This window comes from Homo sapiens, chromosome 3 (genome assembly GCF_000001405.40).
Source record: "Homo sapiens chromosome 3, GRCh38.p14 Primary Assembly".
In the NCBI taxonomy this organism is placed as follows: domain Eukaryota; kingdom Metazoa; phylum Chordata; class Mammalia; order Primates; family Hominidae; genus Homo; species Homo sapiens.
This window is the reverse complement of record NC_000003.12, coordinates 15,195,831-15,212,656: the sequence shown is the minus strand read 5'-3', so window position 1 is coordinate 15,212,656 and position 16,826 is coordinate 15,195,831. Positions and strand designations below refer to the sequence as shown.

The 16,826-nt window shown below is 41.2% G+C and overlaps 1 protein-coding gene and 1 pseudogene across 18 annotated transcripts in view, besides 2 other annotated features; one reads left to right on the top strand and one right to left on the bottom strand.

Moving 5' to 3' along the window:
* CAPN7 (calpain 7) overlaps positions 1–6,411 on the bottom strand; it is a 46,671-nt gene extending 40,260 nt beyond the window's left edge. For 12 of the 17 annotated variants that reach the window (NR_164761.1, NR_164765.1, NR_164762.1 and 9 more), the window contains exons 1-2: positions 6,060–6,411; positions 445–553 (exon numbers count right to left, since the gene is read on the bottom strand). Coding sequence is in view for 10 of the 17 variants with exons in the window: in NM_014296.3 (NP_055111.1) it covers positions 445–553; positions 6,060–6,161 (211 nt within the window). In the remaining 7 variants the exon portion in view is untranslated. Of the gene's footprint in view, positions 1–444; positions 554–1,560; positions 1,697–1,734; positions 1,856–6,059 lie in introns of all 17 variants that reach the window. The other 5 variants (NM_001376086.1, NM_001376091.1, NR_164764.1 and 2 more) reach the window with 3 other exon arrangements.
* Positions 6,186–6,705: a silencer, noted in NCBI's record as "silent region_14101". NCBI's record gives its function as "represses an Ori minimal core promoter by ATAC-STARR-seq in GM12878 lymphoblastoid cells {active_cell/tissue: GM12878}" and the evidence as "EXISTENCE:reporter gene assay evidence [ECO:0000049][PMID:35858748]".
* The window catches only part of COL6A4P1 (collagen type VI alpha 4 pseudogene 1), a 40,598-nt pseudogene continuing 30,469 nt past the window's right edge, over positions 6,698–16,826 (top strand). The window contains exon 1 of the transcript NR_027927.1: positions 6,698–6,946. The product of NR_027927.1 is annotated as a collagen type VI alpha 4 pseudogene 1 (transcript). The remainder of the gene's footprint in view (positions 6,947–16,826) is intronic.
* Positions 9,841–9,890: an enhancer, noted in NCBI's record as "active region_19527". NCBI's record gives its function as "activates an Ori minimal core promoter by ATAC-STARR-seq in GM12878 lymphoblastoid cells {active_cell/tissue: GM12878}" and the evidence as "EXISTENCE:reporter gene assay evidence [ECO:0000049][PMID:35858748]".

The following is a 16,826-nucleotide window of genomic DNA, read 5'->3' as shown; positions in this document are numbered from 1 at the left end:
AAAGAGTTTAGCAAAGGTCTGAAAGTAGAAGACACCGAAAGAGAAGACACTGTGAACCTACTGCTGAAGTCTGTAAACACTGAAGAGGAACAGTCACTTAATTTTATAAGGAAGAGACGTGACAGATATTTTAAAAGCAGACTTTAACTGAATCCTAATCCTAACTTTGCCAATGATAAATTGTTTGAACATAGGTAATTCACCATCTCTGCACTCTGGGAAATTAGGAAACTGGACTATATTGTCTATAAGGTTCCTCTTCAAAGATCTATGACTTATTTCTAAATGACTTTTAAAGAGGTGATTACCAAAAGTGGAATGAGCAGCAACAGAGTGAGCATCAAGATTCAAAGATAAAAATGAAGAAGAGAAACAAACATGGGGGAAAGACATGATGGGAGAAAAGAAAAAATAGAGTGACAAGTTTAGTAGTCCTTTACTAACCTGCTGAATGTAGAGCTTGAACTCTTTCCAGATACTCAGTTATTTTTTCTTGAATATTTTCTAGGCTTGATCCTGCCATCTCAGCATAAATTAAGGCTTGTGCAGCTTCCTAAAAATGAAAGAATTCAAAGGAATCCAATAGATGTATTACAACTTGAATTTTCTTTATCACATTCTCATTCAATATTGGTTTCCATGAATGACAAAACAAGAATGTCTTTAAATTATTATTAATAGTAATTTTTTTCATAAAGTAGTTATACAATCTTCCAATGTTTTCTTCAGTATTCAATGTTCTCAATTTTCTTTTACTTTTCTTTTTTGAGACAGAGTTTTGCTCTGTCACCCAGGCTGGAGTGCAGTGGTGTGATCTCAGCTCAGCTCAACCTCCCCAGGTTCAAGTGATTCTTGGGCCTCAGCCTCCCGAGTAGCTGGGACTATAGGTGTACACCACCATACCTGGTTAATTTTTGTATTTTTAGTAGAGATTGGGTTCTGCCATGTTGGCCAGGCTGGTCTTGAACTCCTGGCCTCAAGTGATCTGCCCACCTCGGCCTCCCAAAGTGCTGGGATTACAGGCATGAGCCACCACACCTGGCCCAAATCATACTTTTTTTTTTTTGGCTTTTTCAAAGATAGAGTCAGAATTAGGTGCTAAAAGCCACAGGACACGCCCAAACAGGAACTTGAACCCTGGACCCTCACATTAAAAGTCTGATGATGCTCTACCGAAGGAGCTATCCAGGCTCTCTCTCAATTTTAACATATCATTGAAAATTTATGAATTCACGCATAAGGAACTGATTATAAACACTTCTTTAGAATAGCTGCAGTTTACATGTTTCGTTTTCCTTTTTCCTTATGCAATAGATCAGATTTAAAATTATATACCTTGAAAATGTGAACTGATTGCAAGTAATTCACACGCAAAAAAATATGAATTGAGCCTTCAAAGCATTAAAACGAGTAATAATTGCTAAAATAAAATTATCAAGAAAAGATTACAGGAGATTACACAGGTTAAATATCTCACAGTAAAAGGAAAACAGTTTTCTCCACAGAAAATACTGACAAAGGATGACACATTTTAAAGCAGATTTTAGTTGTATAAATTACACTTATTTTAATTTTAAGAAAATCTGGATTCTTCTTCCAGTTATTCCATAACTTCCACGACCAGTTATGCTATGGCTAGAAGGTGGTGTTTCCATTCTCCTCATCACCATTCCAGGAAGGTTACCAATGCTACCACCTAGAAAAGCAAAGACAGATTTCTACAAGTAACAGCACCTTCTCTGCAGTAACCCAAGCGTGTACACTTCATGGGTCATCATGCCTGTTTCCAAAGATGCCATCTACTGAACATCACTTTTTGAATCCAGTTGTTTGAGCAGGAGTTGTTTCACTGAACCTAACAAAATTAAGAAAAGTGCAGTTTTCAGCCTGGGCAACATGGTGAAACCCTGTCTCTACAAAGTAGTCCCAGCTACTCAGGAGGCTGAGGCGGGAGGATCACCTGAGCCCTGGGAGGTGGAGGCTGCAGTGAGCTGTGATCGGGCCACTGCACTCCAGCCTGGGTGACAGAGTAAGATACTGTCCAAAAAAAAAAAAAAAAAGGAAGGAAGCAAGGAAGGAATGAAAAAGTACAGTTTTGACTACAATGAAAATTCAGCCTAAAGGCAGTGGGATAGAAAAGATATGACTTCCTTAGATTCTATAACTATTTCAGAGGAGGAAAGTATAACTTTACATGTAAACATTAAATATATCTTACATACCATCATTATCTAAATACATTGTAACTACACTTAAATCCAATAAACGGAATGTTTTTGATACATGTAAATTATATAAGTATATAATACACATATATTGCCCCTTCAGTTATCTTGTATGTGATTATTAATTTCCAAATAATTATTGTACTTTTTAAAAAAAGCTATTTTTTTTACTTAGGAGTCTGAGGCAGGAGGACTGCTTGAGGCCAGGAGTTCAAGACTAACTGGGCAACATAGTGAAATCCCCATTTCTGGAAAAAAAAAAAATTAGCCAGGTATTGTGGTGCACACCTGTAGTCCCAGCTACTCAGGAGGCTGAGGCTGGAAGATTGTTTTAGCCCAGGAGTTTGAGGCTGCAGTGAGTTATGATCTCACCACTGCCCGCCAGCCTGGGTGACAGAATGAGACCCTGTCTCTGAAAAATAAAATAAAGCCAATTTAAAAAACTGCTGGTGTCAATTTTATTTTACTCATTTCATTTATATTCAAAACTGACAAGAAATAAATAGCTTATAGAAAGGACTGGGCAGAAAACACTAAATACTAAACTGATGAAGCTTATATAAATAATTTCTAGAAGTACAACCACTTTTTTTGGCTTTCTCAAAGATAAAAAATTCTTCCTGACATGTATGTAAGTCTATAGGAAACAAGGGGCAGTGCATAGCAGTTTCTTTTGCTTTAATAAAATCTATTTTTATATAGCACTATTTTAACCTGTTGTCAAAGCTATTTCACAAAACACACACAATTTTTCTCTTAAACAATGCCTTGTGAAATTGTCAAAAAAGTCTAAAAGGATTCTGAAATGCACCAAAACTCTCTAAACATAAAGCAGATTATAATAGAATGAGACCTACTGTTAAGATAGATCACAGGGTGACCAGAGTTTATAATATTTGATTGTACATTTCAAAATAGCTAGATTAATTCAAATGTTCCTAGCATAAATATTAAGGGAATAATATTCAGTAATAAAAGCTGCACAGTTCAGCTGTGAAGTAGTTAAGGTGATGGCTATCCCAAGTATGCTGATTTATCTTTACAAATTATATTAATGTATTAAATTATCACATGTACCCTGAAACTATGTACATTACCTATCAATAAAAAAAGAAAAAAATAGGCTGGGGGCGGTGGCTCATGCCTATAATCCCAGCACTTTGGGAAGCCGAGGCAGGTGGATCACCTGAGGTCGGGAGTTTGAGACCAGCCTGACCAACATGGAGAAACCCGGTCTCTACTAAAAATACAAAATTAGCCGGGGGTGGTGGTGCATGCCTGTAATCCCAGCTACTCAGGAGGCTGAGGCAGGAGAATCACTTGAACCCACGAGGTGGAGGTTGCAGCGAGTCGAGATTGTGCTATTGCACTCCAGCCTGAGCAACAAGAACAAAACTCCGTCTCAAAAAAAAAGGAAAAAAGATTATAAAATGAAAGCAACAAAATATTAATCTGAAACAAACCACACTTTATTGACAGCACATACATTTGTGAAAAAAAGTACTACTATTGTACAGTATTATCAAAGTCTGATAATCTTTCTAAAAGAAAAGGTGACACTATCATGAGGACACAGCTCCCTCCAAATCTAGCTAGAGCTAGAGGGGTATATTTGCAAATCCTCAGAATTGGAGAGAAGAGAGTGGACCATGGAAGCTCATACCCTTTGATTTATCAATTCTGTCCCCGGTAATTTATCCCAAAGAAAATTCAGGCAAAAATTTGCACTAGTCATAAGAATTAGTTATAAAGATATGAACTACATCGTTACTTATGATGTTGAAAAAACAAAATCAACTGAATGCCCAAGAGTCTGTAAATTAATTATAGTACACTGGACAGGCACAGAGGCTCACGCCTGTAATTCCAGCATTTTGGGAGACTGAGGCAGGAAGATCGCTTGACCCAGGAGTTCGAAACCAGCCTGGGCAACACAGCGAGACTCCATTTCTACACAAAAAAAAAAAAAAAAAAAAAATTAGCCAAGTGTGGTTGTGTCTACCTGTAGTCCCACCAATTGGGAGACTGAGGCAGGAGGATTGCTTGAGCTTTGCAGTTTGAGGCTGCAATGAGCTATTATTAGTGGGCCACGGCACTCCAGGCTGAGTGACAGGGCAAGACGCTGTCTCTTAAAAAAAAAAATATGGTACACCCACATAATGAACTACTGTGCAGCTATTACTAAAAACAGTATAAACCAGTTTGTAAAAAAAAAAAAAAAGCATATACACATACGCATAAAAAAACACAAAAATATAGTCACACACCACATAACATTTCAGTCAACAACAGACTGAATATATGATAGTGGTCCCCTAAGATTATAATGGAGTTGAAAAATTCCTATTGCCTGGTCATGTCATAGCCATCATAATGTCATAGCACAACACTTTACTCGCATGTTTGTGGTGATGCTGATGTAAACAAACCTACTGGGGTGCCAGTGGTGTAAAAGTCTACCACACACAATAATGTAGAGTACATAATACTTGATAATCAACAACTATGTTACTGGTTTATGTATTTACTATGCTATACTATGTACTGTTAGTATACTCCTTTTATAAAAAAAAGTTAACTATAAAACAGTCTCTGACATGTCCTTCAGGAGATATTTCAAGAGACATTGTTATCATAGGAGACGACAGTTTCATTCCTGTTATTGCTCCTGAAGACCTCCCAGTGGGACAAGATTGGAGGTGGAAGACAGTAATATTGATGATCCTGACGAGGTGTAGGCCTAGGCTAACGTGTGCCTTAGTTTTTAACTAAAGAATAAAAAAAAAAAAAGAAACAAAAAAACTTACCAAATAAAGATATAAAGAAAATGTTTGTGTAACTGCACAATAAGTTCGTTTTAAGCTATTACAAAAGAGTTAAAAAGTTAAGAAAATTTAGAAGTTTATAAAGTAAAAGGGTTACCGTAAGCTAAGGTTAGTTTATTACTGAAGAAAGATTAAAAAAATTTAGCGTAGCCTAAGGGTACACTGCTTATAAAGTCTACAAGAGTAGAGCAGTGAATGTCCCAGGCCTTCACATTCACTCACCACTACTCACCAACTCAGAGCAACTTCCAGTCCTGCAAGCTCCTTTTGTGGGTAAGTGCCCCACACTGGTGTAGTATTTTTTTTTTATCTTTTATGCTGCATGTTTACTGTACCTTTTCTATGTTTAGATGCACAAATACTTACCACTGCATGTAACTGCACACACCACTGAGTACAGCAACACGCTGCGCAGGCCTGTAACCTAGGAGCAACAGGCCATGCCATACAGCTTAGGTGTGGAACAGGCTGTACCATTCAGGCTTGTGTAAGCGCTTTCTACGGTGTTCGCACAACAACAAAATGGCCTAAGAACACATTTCTCAGAAAATATCACATCGCTAAGGACGCATGACTGTATGTCAAATGCTATGACAGGAGATGGTTTTTATTCTTTTTAAGTTTATTTAACGAGCATGCATTATTTTGATATATATCACAGGCCATTTCCCGCTAGCTGTAAATCAGAGTCAAGTGACAGCAAGAATTGGCTACTAACTACCCATATCTAACACCTGCCCCCCAAAGCGGCTCAACGGTGGGCATTTGCCAGTCAGGACTACAGGTGGAGGAGCGGCGGCTGCAAGCCGCGACCCAGCCTCCCCGCAGCCTCAGCGTCGGCCTCTGCACTCGGGCTTGCCGCTCCCAACAAGAGGAGGGCCGGGAGGCGGACGAGGGAAAAGCAAAGCCGGGGCCGCTAGCCTCCGCACCCGGATCCCGCCCCTCGGCCGCAGGCCCGGGCCGCACTCCGACTGAGCAACTCCGACCGAAGCGCCGGGCCCGGCCCTACCTTGTAATAAAACACCGCCTCGGAGTAGCGGCCTTCGTGGTCGCGCTGAACCGCCAGACGGGCGAACTGCACAGCGTCCCGCTCCAGTGCTGTGGCGTCCATGGCGCAGTGGCCCCGCGCCGGGGCAGGGAAGGAGGCCCTGACGCAGGACGGCTCTTCGCGGACTGCGGCGGCCCGGCGGCGGCGAGGACTCGGGAGCGCCGCGGAAGGAGCGGCAAAGTTTACTTTGGACGGTGGAGGAGAGCTCGCCTTCCCGTTGCCGGGCTGGGGTCCACCGCGAAGCCGCGCCCCTCAGCCCAGACCCGGCTTGTAGCCCACCCGGCCGCCCCACTTCGCGGCCCCAGCGGCCCTCGCCCCGCCCACCAGCCGCCCGACGCAGGCGCAGCCTGGCCCTCACGAGCTCCTTAGAAGCTGGGGCCGCCGAGGCCAGGCTCGCGGGACTGCGCGGGCTGTGGGCGGGGCCGGGCCCACGCAGGAGCCGGGCCGCGGGGGCGGGGCAAAAAGGCCTGCCGCTGTGCACGTGACCGTCGCGGCGCCCGGGATTGAGCAGCTGAGGGCAGGTGCCACGTCCGAGCTGCCCACACACCGCCTTATGCGTGGCGGTGGCGGTGCAGGGCGAGGCTGTTTTCGTCGACAGTGGGCAGTAGAGGGGTACGCGCCTTACAGATCCTTTCCTCTGTTAAGTGTAAGGGATGGGAGTAAAGAGCTAAGGAAGAATGCCTCCCACCAGCATCTGACACATTAAAAAAATTACCGTGAGGACAGAGGTTCTTTAGAGTCACTCTTCGCTAACATTTATTTTCATTTGTTTTCCACAAGCTGAATCATGACCCTATAGCCCCCCACTGTACACCAAGGTCGTATTGATTGAATTGTTAACAAACAAGGTAATGTATTTCCACTTGTACTTACCCTTAGGTTAACTTGATGCTGTTGTAATTAAATACTTAATTAGGTGATTATTTGATTTATGTCTTCTCTCCCCTAAAGGTCTGAAGTCAGCAGTAATAAAAATGAATTAGTGATGGGCACCACCAAATTCATGCTGAGTCAAAGAAGTAAGAATTGAGTACATAATGTATAATTCCATCTATAAGAAACACTAGAAAACACTACGATGTTAGAAAGCAGATCAGTGGTTGGGAAGGGGATACAAAGGAATCTTTTCGGATGATGAGAATGTTTTATATCTCAATGGTGGTGTAAAAATATATACGTTTGTCAAAACTTATCAAACTACATTTTAAGTGTGTACTTTTAATTTTTTAATTATACTCTAAATTTTTTTTCAGTCATTTGGCCTGCATTTAAAATGGGACTCTAATTTCTTAGTTTAAGTGTATTTCTTCACATTTAGTGAAGTTCTTAATAACAACGGTCTCATCAGGCTGTTATAAAGACACACAGAATTTGATTTTGTGCCTGGCCCAAAGATGGCTCTCAAAGGTAGCAACTACAGTTTTATAGCTGAAGCAGGGATGCTTCCTGTCTTTACCACTTTGATCCCAGCGTTGAGCGCAAGCCTTGTTCCAGAGCAGGTGTTCAACAAATATTTTAAAATGTTGAATGAGTCAACTCCACTACTTAAATATATCTAATGTGAGAAAGTCCTTCAGTACATGAGTTCAGGCCATATGTGTTTCAGTCACTGTTTTGCACAAACTGACCCCCAAGCTACAGCAGATAAATATAGTTTTACTCCTCACAGGACTTCGGTTCCTGCTCCCATCACAGCTTATAGAATTCCTAGTGCATCTTGAAGGAAGCCTTTTATTGCACTCCCAGGTAGTTGAGATCTCTTCCTATATTTATTCCTATATTCTGTATAAGGAATTGAATCCTTATTCCTTGTTCATGTATTCAGTGAACACCAAACTATTTTGTGCCTGGCACAGAGCTAGACATTGACGATACAAAGCCAAATAGGAGACAGTGAGACAAGGCAGGGGTAAAGCAAATTGAAGCTTCAAAGTATTAATATTTGCAGTCTCAACAAAATTGAGTCTTCCAATCCATGAGCATCGTCAATTTCTCCATTTCTTCAGGACTTCTTCAATTTCTCTCAGCAGTTTTGTAGTTTTCACATGCATGGGCCTTGCATATCTTTTGACAGATTTATTTCTAAGCAGTTGATATTTTTGATGCTATTGTAAATGGTATCGCTTATTTAACTTTAATTTCCAACTGTTGCTAGTATATGCAAATAGCATTGACATTTATATATTGACCTTGTATTCTGTGATCATCAATTATCCAAAAAACTCTGAGAACTTGGTGGTGGAGACTCACGACATGTGCCTTTGTGGAATGCCTGCCAGAATGTCCAGTACCACCTCCACCTTAGGCCAGCTCTGTGACAGTGGAATTTGTCCAATGTTAAGCACTCAGAGCTGCATAGTCAACATGTCGTCATCCTGCAGCTTGGGAGCCCTCCCCCACCGAGAGCTGAGACAGACATAGAGAGGGATGAGACCTGGAGACAGACATTGAGAGGGCACTGGTCTGCACACACCCCTGCTCAGGAAGCTCCTTGTTGGTTTTTTTTTTCCCTTTGGTTAAATGGCTATTGCTATTGACTGTTGAATTCCTTGGCCTGTCCTACAAATGTCAGAAACAGCAGAGCATAGTTTTGAAATTTAGACTTGCAGGGAGCTTATAATCTGCATATAATTACATATGGAATCTATTAAGATTATATTTAATTCTATATATTTTAAATATGTATATAAAATTAAGTTAGGATATGTGTGTATATAAAATTCTACTGTAGGTGAAAAAGATGTTATTACCCTTTTTAAAGCTGCCAACCAAATGATGGTAGTTTATTATTTCATTAAATACATATGCAAAATTCTGTTGGCCAGGCACTGGAGGTAAAGACAGCTCACACTGTGGTGAGCAAGACATTCAGCAGCCAACAGTTAAAAGCATCATTTAATAATTGCTAAAAGAGAGAAGGCAGAGGCTGGGAGGAGCACTACCTAAATCAGCTTGGGGAGTCTAACACAGTGTTCCAGAAGAAAGGTGGCTTGAGTTGAGTCCCAAAGGCAGAATAAGAGCAAAGCAGGAGAGGAAGAGATGGATGTTTCAGTCTCAACTAGAGGCAGGAGTGTTGAGGTCCGTGTATTTTGAGGATTGGGATTCACTGGGTGTGGCTGTGGGAAGAGATGGAAAATGAGACTTTAGAGCTGTGCTTCTCACATTTAGCTGCTTTGGAACCACCCAGGGATCTGATTATATATAGGTTTCTGGGCTCCATCCTAGAATGCCTGGGTCAGTAGGGTTGGGCAGGGCCTGGGAATCTGCATTTCTGCAGATTCTGACAAGTGATGCTGCTGGTGCAGAGACCACACTTTGAGAACCACTGCTCTAGATTTAGAAGGGAGTCACTGAAAGCTTAAGGCCCGTTCCCAGTCAAGTCTCTTGACCATGGCTTCATGGCCTTGAAATTCAGCACTCAGGGGAAGAGTGGATCATGCTAAGGACAGCAAAGACAGGGGTGAGTTAAATTCCCTCCCTGCAGTCCCATCTCTGCTGTGCTGGATCCCTGGCCTTGAAGCTTCCTTCCTTCTTAGTTTTTTCCCCTGTGACCCTCTAGGACACATGCTATGTTGCTGTTGGTCTTTGGTAGTTGCCCTCTCTCACAGTTGGGTGGGACAAGTCATCCTATTTACTACAGATCCTCACCAACTGTGCTGGGTTTATGCAGATTCCTGAGAGCACACTGTCACCTTGTGTTCATATGTGGCACTGCAGCTAGGTGTTACCTCATAGGGGCTTGTGGTCACAACTTTATCCTTTCAACAAACATTTCATTAAAATATCTACCATGGCCGGGTGTGGTGGCTCACACCTGTAATCTCAGCACTTTGGGAGGCCGAGGTGGGTGGATCACCCGAGGTCAGGAGTTCGAGACCAGCCTGGCCAACATGGCAAAACTTCATCTCTACTAAAAATACAAAAAATTAGCCAGGTATGGTGGCAGGTGCCTGTAATCCCAGCTACTTGGGAGGCTGAGGCAGGAGAATTGCTTGAACCAGGGAGGCATAGGTTATAATCCCAGCACTTTGGGAGGCTGAGGCAGGTGGATCACCTGAAGTCAGGAGTTCGAGACCAGCCTGGCCAACATAGTGAAACCTTGTCTCTACTAAAAACACAAAAAATTAGCCAAGCATTTTGGTGGGCGCCTGTAATCCCAGCTACTCAGGAGTCTGACACAGGAGAATCGCTTGAACCCAGGAGGCGGAGGTTGCAGTGAGCCGAGATCACGCCATTGCACTCCAGCCTGGGCAACAAGAGCGAAACTCCATCTAAAATAAATAAATAAATATCTACCATAATCCCTGAAGAGCACAATAATTTTCAAGTCCAGGGCTCTCTGGGGCTCTTTAGAGATAACAGCACCATCCCTGAGGCAAGGTATGGAGCAAATTTGAGAAGCAAATTTTAGGAAGAAGTGAGTTGGGGCAGTTACTACTAGCTCTAGACAGTTCAAGGGAACGTAGGTCCAATATATTTTTTTAAATCAAGAGAAGCCAGAAATTTAAATCTTGGTGTAAAAAATACTGACTTTTAAGTAAAAATAAAGTGAAATGTTTTCCCCCTTTTTTTTTTTTTGACAGAGTTTTCACTCTTGTTGCCCAGGCTGGAGTGCAATGGTGCAATCTCAGCTCACTGAAACCTCCGCCTCCTGGGTTCAAGCAGTTCTCCTGCCTCAGCCTCCCAAGTAGCTTGAATTACAGGCATGCGGCACCACGCCCGGCTAGTTTTTTGTATTTAGTAGAGATGGGGTTTCACCATGTTGGTCAGGCTCGTCTCGAACTGCTGACCTCAGGTGATCCACCCGCCTCGGCCTCCCAAAGTGCTGGGATTACAATTGTGAGCCACCACTCCTGGCCAGTGAAATGTTTTTCTAAGTACTAAGAGACAACATTGCACATCTACAGGCTACACTGGGCTCATATCCTGTTATTTTGATCCTTTCTTGGTACTTTAATTCCTTTACATAATTTTAGAGCAGTCTCAAGAAGGAGAGAAGGTAAATGCTGACATTTGTGGATACAGTGGTGTGAAAACAGGCCCTCCTCTCATAGGGCTTTTGGCCTACTGGGAGGACACAGGCATTAATCAATCAATAAAGGCCATTAGTGAATGAATCATTACAAATGTAGACGAGTACTCCAAAGGTAATCAACAGTTTTGTAAGAGCTTATGAAAAGGAAACTGACCTGAACTAGGGGGTCAGCAAAGACTTTCCCTGAGATAGAAGGAACTGCTTGTGCAGTGGCCAGTGGCAAAACTGAACATGGAACAGAGGCCAGTGTAGCTGGAGCAGACACAGTGAAATGCAGGCAGAGGCTCAGAAGGTGAGGGTGTCAGGCATGAGACCATGTAGGGCCTTGTAGGCCCTGTTAAGAGTTTGGGTTTCTATCTTAATTCTCAGTACACCATTGTGGACTGCTACACTCAATTTTAATTTGAGTTTCTTTATAGAGGGGTTCTAAATATTTGTAAGGATTGATATTTCAATGACTTTTGTTCTTTATTAGAGATCTTCCAAAGAACCAAGATAAAATTTTAATTTATAAATTATATATATTTATAAATGAATTTATGTATTAAATGTATAAATAAATTTATAAATATACATTTATAAATATATATTATATATTTATAAATTTTCCTATATATATAATAAAGCTCATTCTATCTTACGATTACCATATGAGCCCATTGGATCCCTTTATAATCTAAGCTACCTTTTGGAATCTAAGCTACCTTTTGGGATCCTTCTGTACATGTTAAAATATTTTGATATTTTATCATTCTATGAATTATTTCATCATTACTCAATAATTACAAGCTATCATTTAAAAATACTAAAATAATAGGACAACAGAAGAAAGATGAAATGCCTAAATGGATAAAGTAATTGTGAAATAATAATTATTAAATTAGCCTTCAGTTTTCCTGTTGCATTGTCCAAAGTATTGCATTGTCCCTCAAAAAGGTATAAGAGAAGTCTGGAGATACTATCTTTGGAGCACAGTTTTAGTTTTCTTTCTAATTAAGCTTTCTATTTTGAGATAATTGTAACTTAACATGCTATTGTAAGAAATAACACAGAAATCTCATATACACTTTATCTAGTTTATCTCAGTAGTAATAGCTTGCATAACTCTAGTACAACATAATGACCAGGAAATTGACGTTGATACAGTTCACCAATTTTACACTTTCAGTTTTCATTGGACAAAGTAGATCAGGGGTCACCAACCCCTGAGCTGTAGACTGATATCATCTCTGTCCTGTTAGGAACAATGTTGCACAGCAGGAGGTGAGTGGTGGGCAAGTGAGCGAAGCTTCATTTCTATTTACAGCTGCTCCCCATCATTCATATTACTGCCTGAGCTCTGCCTCCGGTCAGATCAGCCACAGCATTAGATTCTCATAGTAGTTCAAAACCTGCTGTGAACTCTGCATGCGAAGGATCTAGGTTGCGTGCTCCTTATGAGAATCTAATGCCTGATGATCTGAGGTGGAGCTGAGGCAGTGATGCTAACGCTGGGGAGTGGCTGCAAATACAGATTAACACTAGCAGAGGTTTGACTGCACAGAGACCATAATAAATTGCTTGTGATCTCATATCAAAACCCTATCAGTGAGCGGCAAGTGACAATGAAGCTGCATCTGGTGGTAGGCTTTATAGTGGTAACTGAGTTGATGTACTTCAATTGTACAGCTGCATCTGGTGGCAGGCTTGAAGTTAGAATCCAACACTTATTTTAGTCCTCACGTGGAGTGCGTGGCCTGCAGTCCTCTTTCCCACGCTACCCACTTGTCTCAGTCAGTTTTGGTAAGCCCACAAGCTAACCCAAACCCAAATGAGTAAAAATCAGTTGTCACTGGAAAACTTATTTGAAAAGGGGAAAGACCCAATGATGACACAGCAGAAGACTCTACGACTGCCAACAGAAAGAAAGCTGCATTAAAAAAATACCAAGAGTCCTACTTAAATTATGGGTTCATTGCAACAGGTGATTCACGTTCTCCAAGCCCACGTTGTATAATGTGTGGCAACCGGCTATCCAATGAAGACATAAAACCTTCAAAACTGCTTTGCCATGTGGAGACCAAGCACCCTGCATTAAAACACAAGTCTTTGGAGTTTTCCCAAAGAAAAAAAGTGAGCATGAAGAACAGAAGCAATTACTGAAGGCCACCACTTCATCAAATGTGTCTGCACTGAGAGCATCATTCTTAGTGGCTAACCACATTGCTAAAGCTAAGAAGCCCTTTACTGTTGAAAAAGAGCTGATCCTGCCTGCTGCTGAGGACATTTGTCATGAACTTTTAGGAGGGGCTGCAGTTCAAAAGCTGGCACGTGTTCCTCTTTTGGTTGGTACCGTAACTAGAGGCATCGATGAAATAGCAGAGGATATTGAGGCACAATTGTTAGAGAGGATTAATGAGTCACTGGAGTACACAATCCAGGTTGACAAGTCTACTGATGTTGACAACAAGGCAACAATATTTGTTTTTGTGTGACATATTTTTCAAGAGGATGTGCATAAGGGTATGTTTTGGGTACTTTTGTTGCCAACCAATACCACAGCTGCAGAACTATTTAAGTCTTTGAATGATTACATGTCTGGAAACTGAATTGATCATTTTGTGTCAGTTTATGCAAGGACATAGTGGCTGCCATGACTAGATGGCTTTCTGGTTTCACTGCTTGGGTCAAAGAGGTCGCTTGTGAATGTGAGTCTATGCAGTGTGTCATCCATAGAAAAATGCTGGTTAGCTGAAAAATGTCACCTGAACTTAACGTTTTGCAGGATGTGATTAAAATTACCAACCACATTAAAGTACATACCCTTAACTAACATCTGTTCACGCAGCTCTGTGAGAAGATGGACGCAGAGCACACGTGTCTTCTCTTATACACAGAAGTGAGGTGGCTTTCTAAAGGTAGATCACTGGCCAGAGTTTCTGAGTTATGAGCCTCCAGAGATTTCTTTTAGAAAAACAGTCACCATTGGCAGCACATTTCAGTGACACAGAATGGGTCTCAAAACTTGCTTCCTTGTGTGACATATTCAACCTGCTCAATGAACTCAATCTATCACTTCAGAGGAGAACAACAACTGTGTTCAAGTCAGCAGATAAAGTGGCTGCATTCAAAGCCAAGCTGGAGTTATGGGGGTGACAAGGGAACACTGGGATTTTTGACATGTTTCAAACATTAGCAGAGATTTTGAAAGAGACTGAGCCAGGGCCTTCTTTCTTCCAGCCGGTGCATGATCACCCATCTCAGTTTTCAAAAGAGTTTGAGCATTACTTCCCAACCACAAAAGACCCCCAAACTAGGAAGGAATGGATCTGCAACCCATTTGTGAATAAGCCAGGTAAATCAACTTTGTGCTAGAAGAGGATCAACTGCTTGAGATTGCAAATGATGGTGGCCTTAAAAGTATGTTTGAGACAACTTCAAATCTTCGTATGTTCTGGACTAAAGTCAAAGTGGTAGCCTGAGATTGCCACAAAAGCACTGAAAAGCCTGCTTCCATTTCTAACATCCTATCTTTATGAAGCAGGGTTTTTTGTAGTGAGAGAAACCATAATGAGATTATGGAGTAGACTGGACATAAGCAACACATTTCAGGTGTCACTGTCTTCCATCACCCCCAGATGGGACCATCTAGTTGCAGGAAAACAAGCTCAGGGCTCCCACATATTCTGCATTATGTGAATTGTGTAATTATTTCATCATATATTACAATGTAATAATAGTAGTAACAAAGTGCACAATAAATGTAGTGTGCTCGAATCATCCCCTCCCCATCCCCGCAGTCTGTGGAAAAATGGTCTTTCATGGAACTGGTCCCTGACACCAAAAAGGTTGGGGACTGCTGATGTAGAGATTAAATTTTTTTCATGTCCACTCTAATGACGAAAACAAGCAAATTGATGGAGAAAGTCATTTCACAATTTTGTTACCATTTTCTAACTTTGCAAACCTTCAGCACACTGATTAATATCTCTAAGCCTCAATTTTTCTCATCTGTAAAATAGGTAGATTAGTAACTACCTCATAAAGTTTTAGAAGGATTGAATGAGATAATGCCAGTAAAGCCTTTAGCACAACACCTGGCACATATGAAGTATTTGACAAAGTTATGTCCTGCAACACTTGACTGTGCTCTTTACTCTTCATGACTGTGTTCTTTTGGGATAATCTGTCAGTGCAGGGGCAGAAGAAATGGTTACAGAACCATTTAACCCTTATCTCATTTACCTCTGAGCTGCTTGGAATTCCACTTCCTGAACTCTGATCATCTTGGGAAACAGAAGCAACAACAGCATCCTCTGAAGAGCTCAGTCATTGATAGGCAATGGGAGTGTTTATCACATCTTTTTCTTATAGTCTCTGAGTGCAGCTTCACAATCCTTTACTGCACCCTTAAGCCAGATGTGTTTTGGAATTTGAAATTCACAGAGAACTCCCAGACAGTAGGACTGAATCTTGATAAGGAACTGGAAGCATATACCAAACTGCATTTCAGAATTTTTCTAGATTATTGCAGTGTGCTTGCCTCTTCCTCCCTTTCGAGTAGGATTTTCCTATAGGGATCATCTTATGCCTCTTATCACTGTGCGTTGGGTGTGTGTGTGGGCGGGGGGGGGGGTGCAGATTGTCTCTTTAACAGAGCTCTAATCAAAAGGAGTGATATTTAAGGAGCTGCACCCAAATGAACCACACCAAGGCATCTCATCTTCACCTGAACCTGATTTAGATGACAAGCTCCTGGACTTCAAGCTGATGTTTTAATAGTTTGAGACTTGAGAATTCTAGGGGTGTGATTTGAATGTATTTTGCATGTGGGAGGCATGAGAAATATGGCCAGAAAGCAAACTGTGGCAGACTGTATTTTACAAATAGGCCAAAAGCTTTATCTTACATCCCACGTGATCTCCTTACAAGGGTATCTTCATGTCCCTTCTTTTAAGCGGTAGGATCTTTGTCCCCTACCATGCATCCTGGACATAACTTTGTGACTGCCTTGACTAATAGTGTATAGTGGAAGTGCTACCATCTAACTTATGAGGCTAAATCATAAAATGCCACTCACTTGTACCTTGCTCTTATCATCTAGACACCTTGGACTGGATGACATAATTTGCATTGTTTTAGTAGTTACAGCTTCTACGTGGCTGATGGCTAAAATAGTATTCACAGTCCTCTTCCAGAGCAGGAACTTGAAAGTGCTTCCACTTCACAAATTCCCAAAGGTTAAATGTATAATGGCATCAAATTAAGGAAGTTTATTCTTTTCAGATGATTGCAAGCTGGTTTATTCAGTAGAAATAGAAAATAAGATTGTTTTCTCCCTTTTCAAAAGAAATTTTGCTGTAGCAGATATTCCTATTACACAACAAGTGGAAATTGTGTTGGTTTATACACAGTTTTTCCCAGGCACAGGGAACCATATTAGTATGAGTAGAATTTAAAACATCAACAGGATGGCTACTACTCAAGCCGGAACCTTTTCAGCTCAAAATAAAACTACGCCTGTCTTGAGAGCAGTTCCACCAGCTCAGACTTCCATTCCATCTACACAGTCTCTGAATGCAATCCAGAATTTCCACGTTATGGTTTTTTTTTTTCATTGTTGTTGTTCTTAAGCTTTTTAAAATTTTTGTATGTGTACTTTTAAAAAAGTTTTCAGCTTTTATTTCAGATACAAGGGATGCATGTATAGGATT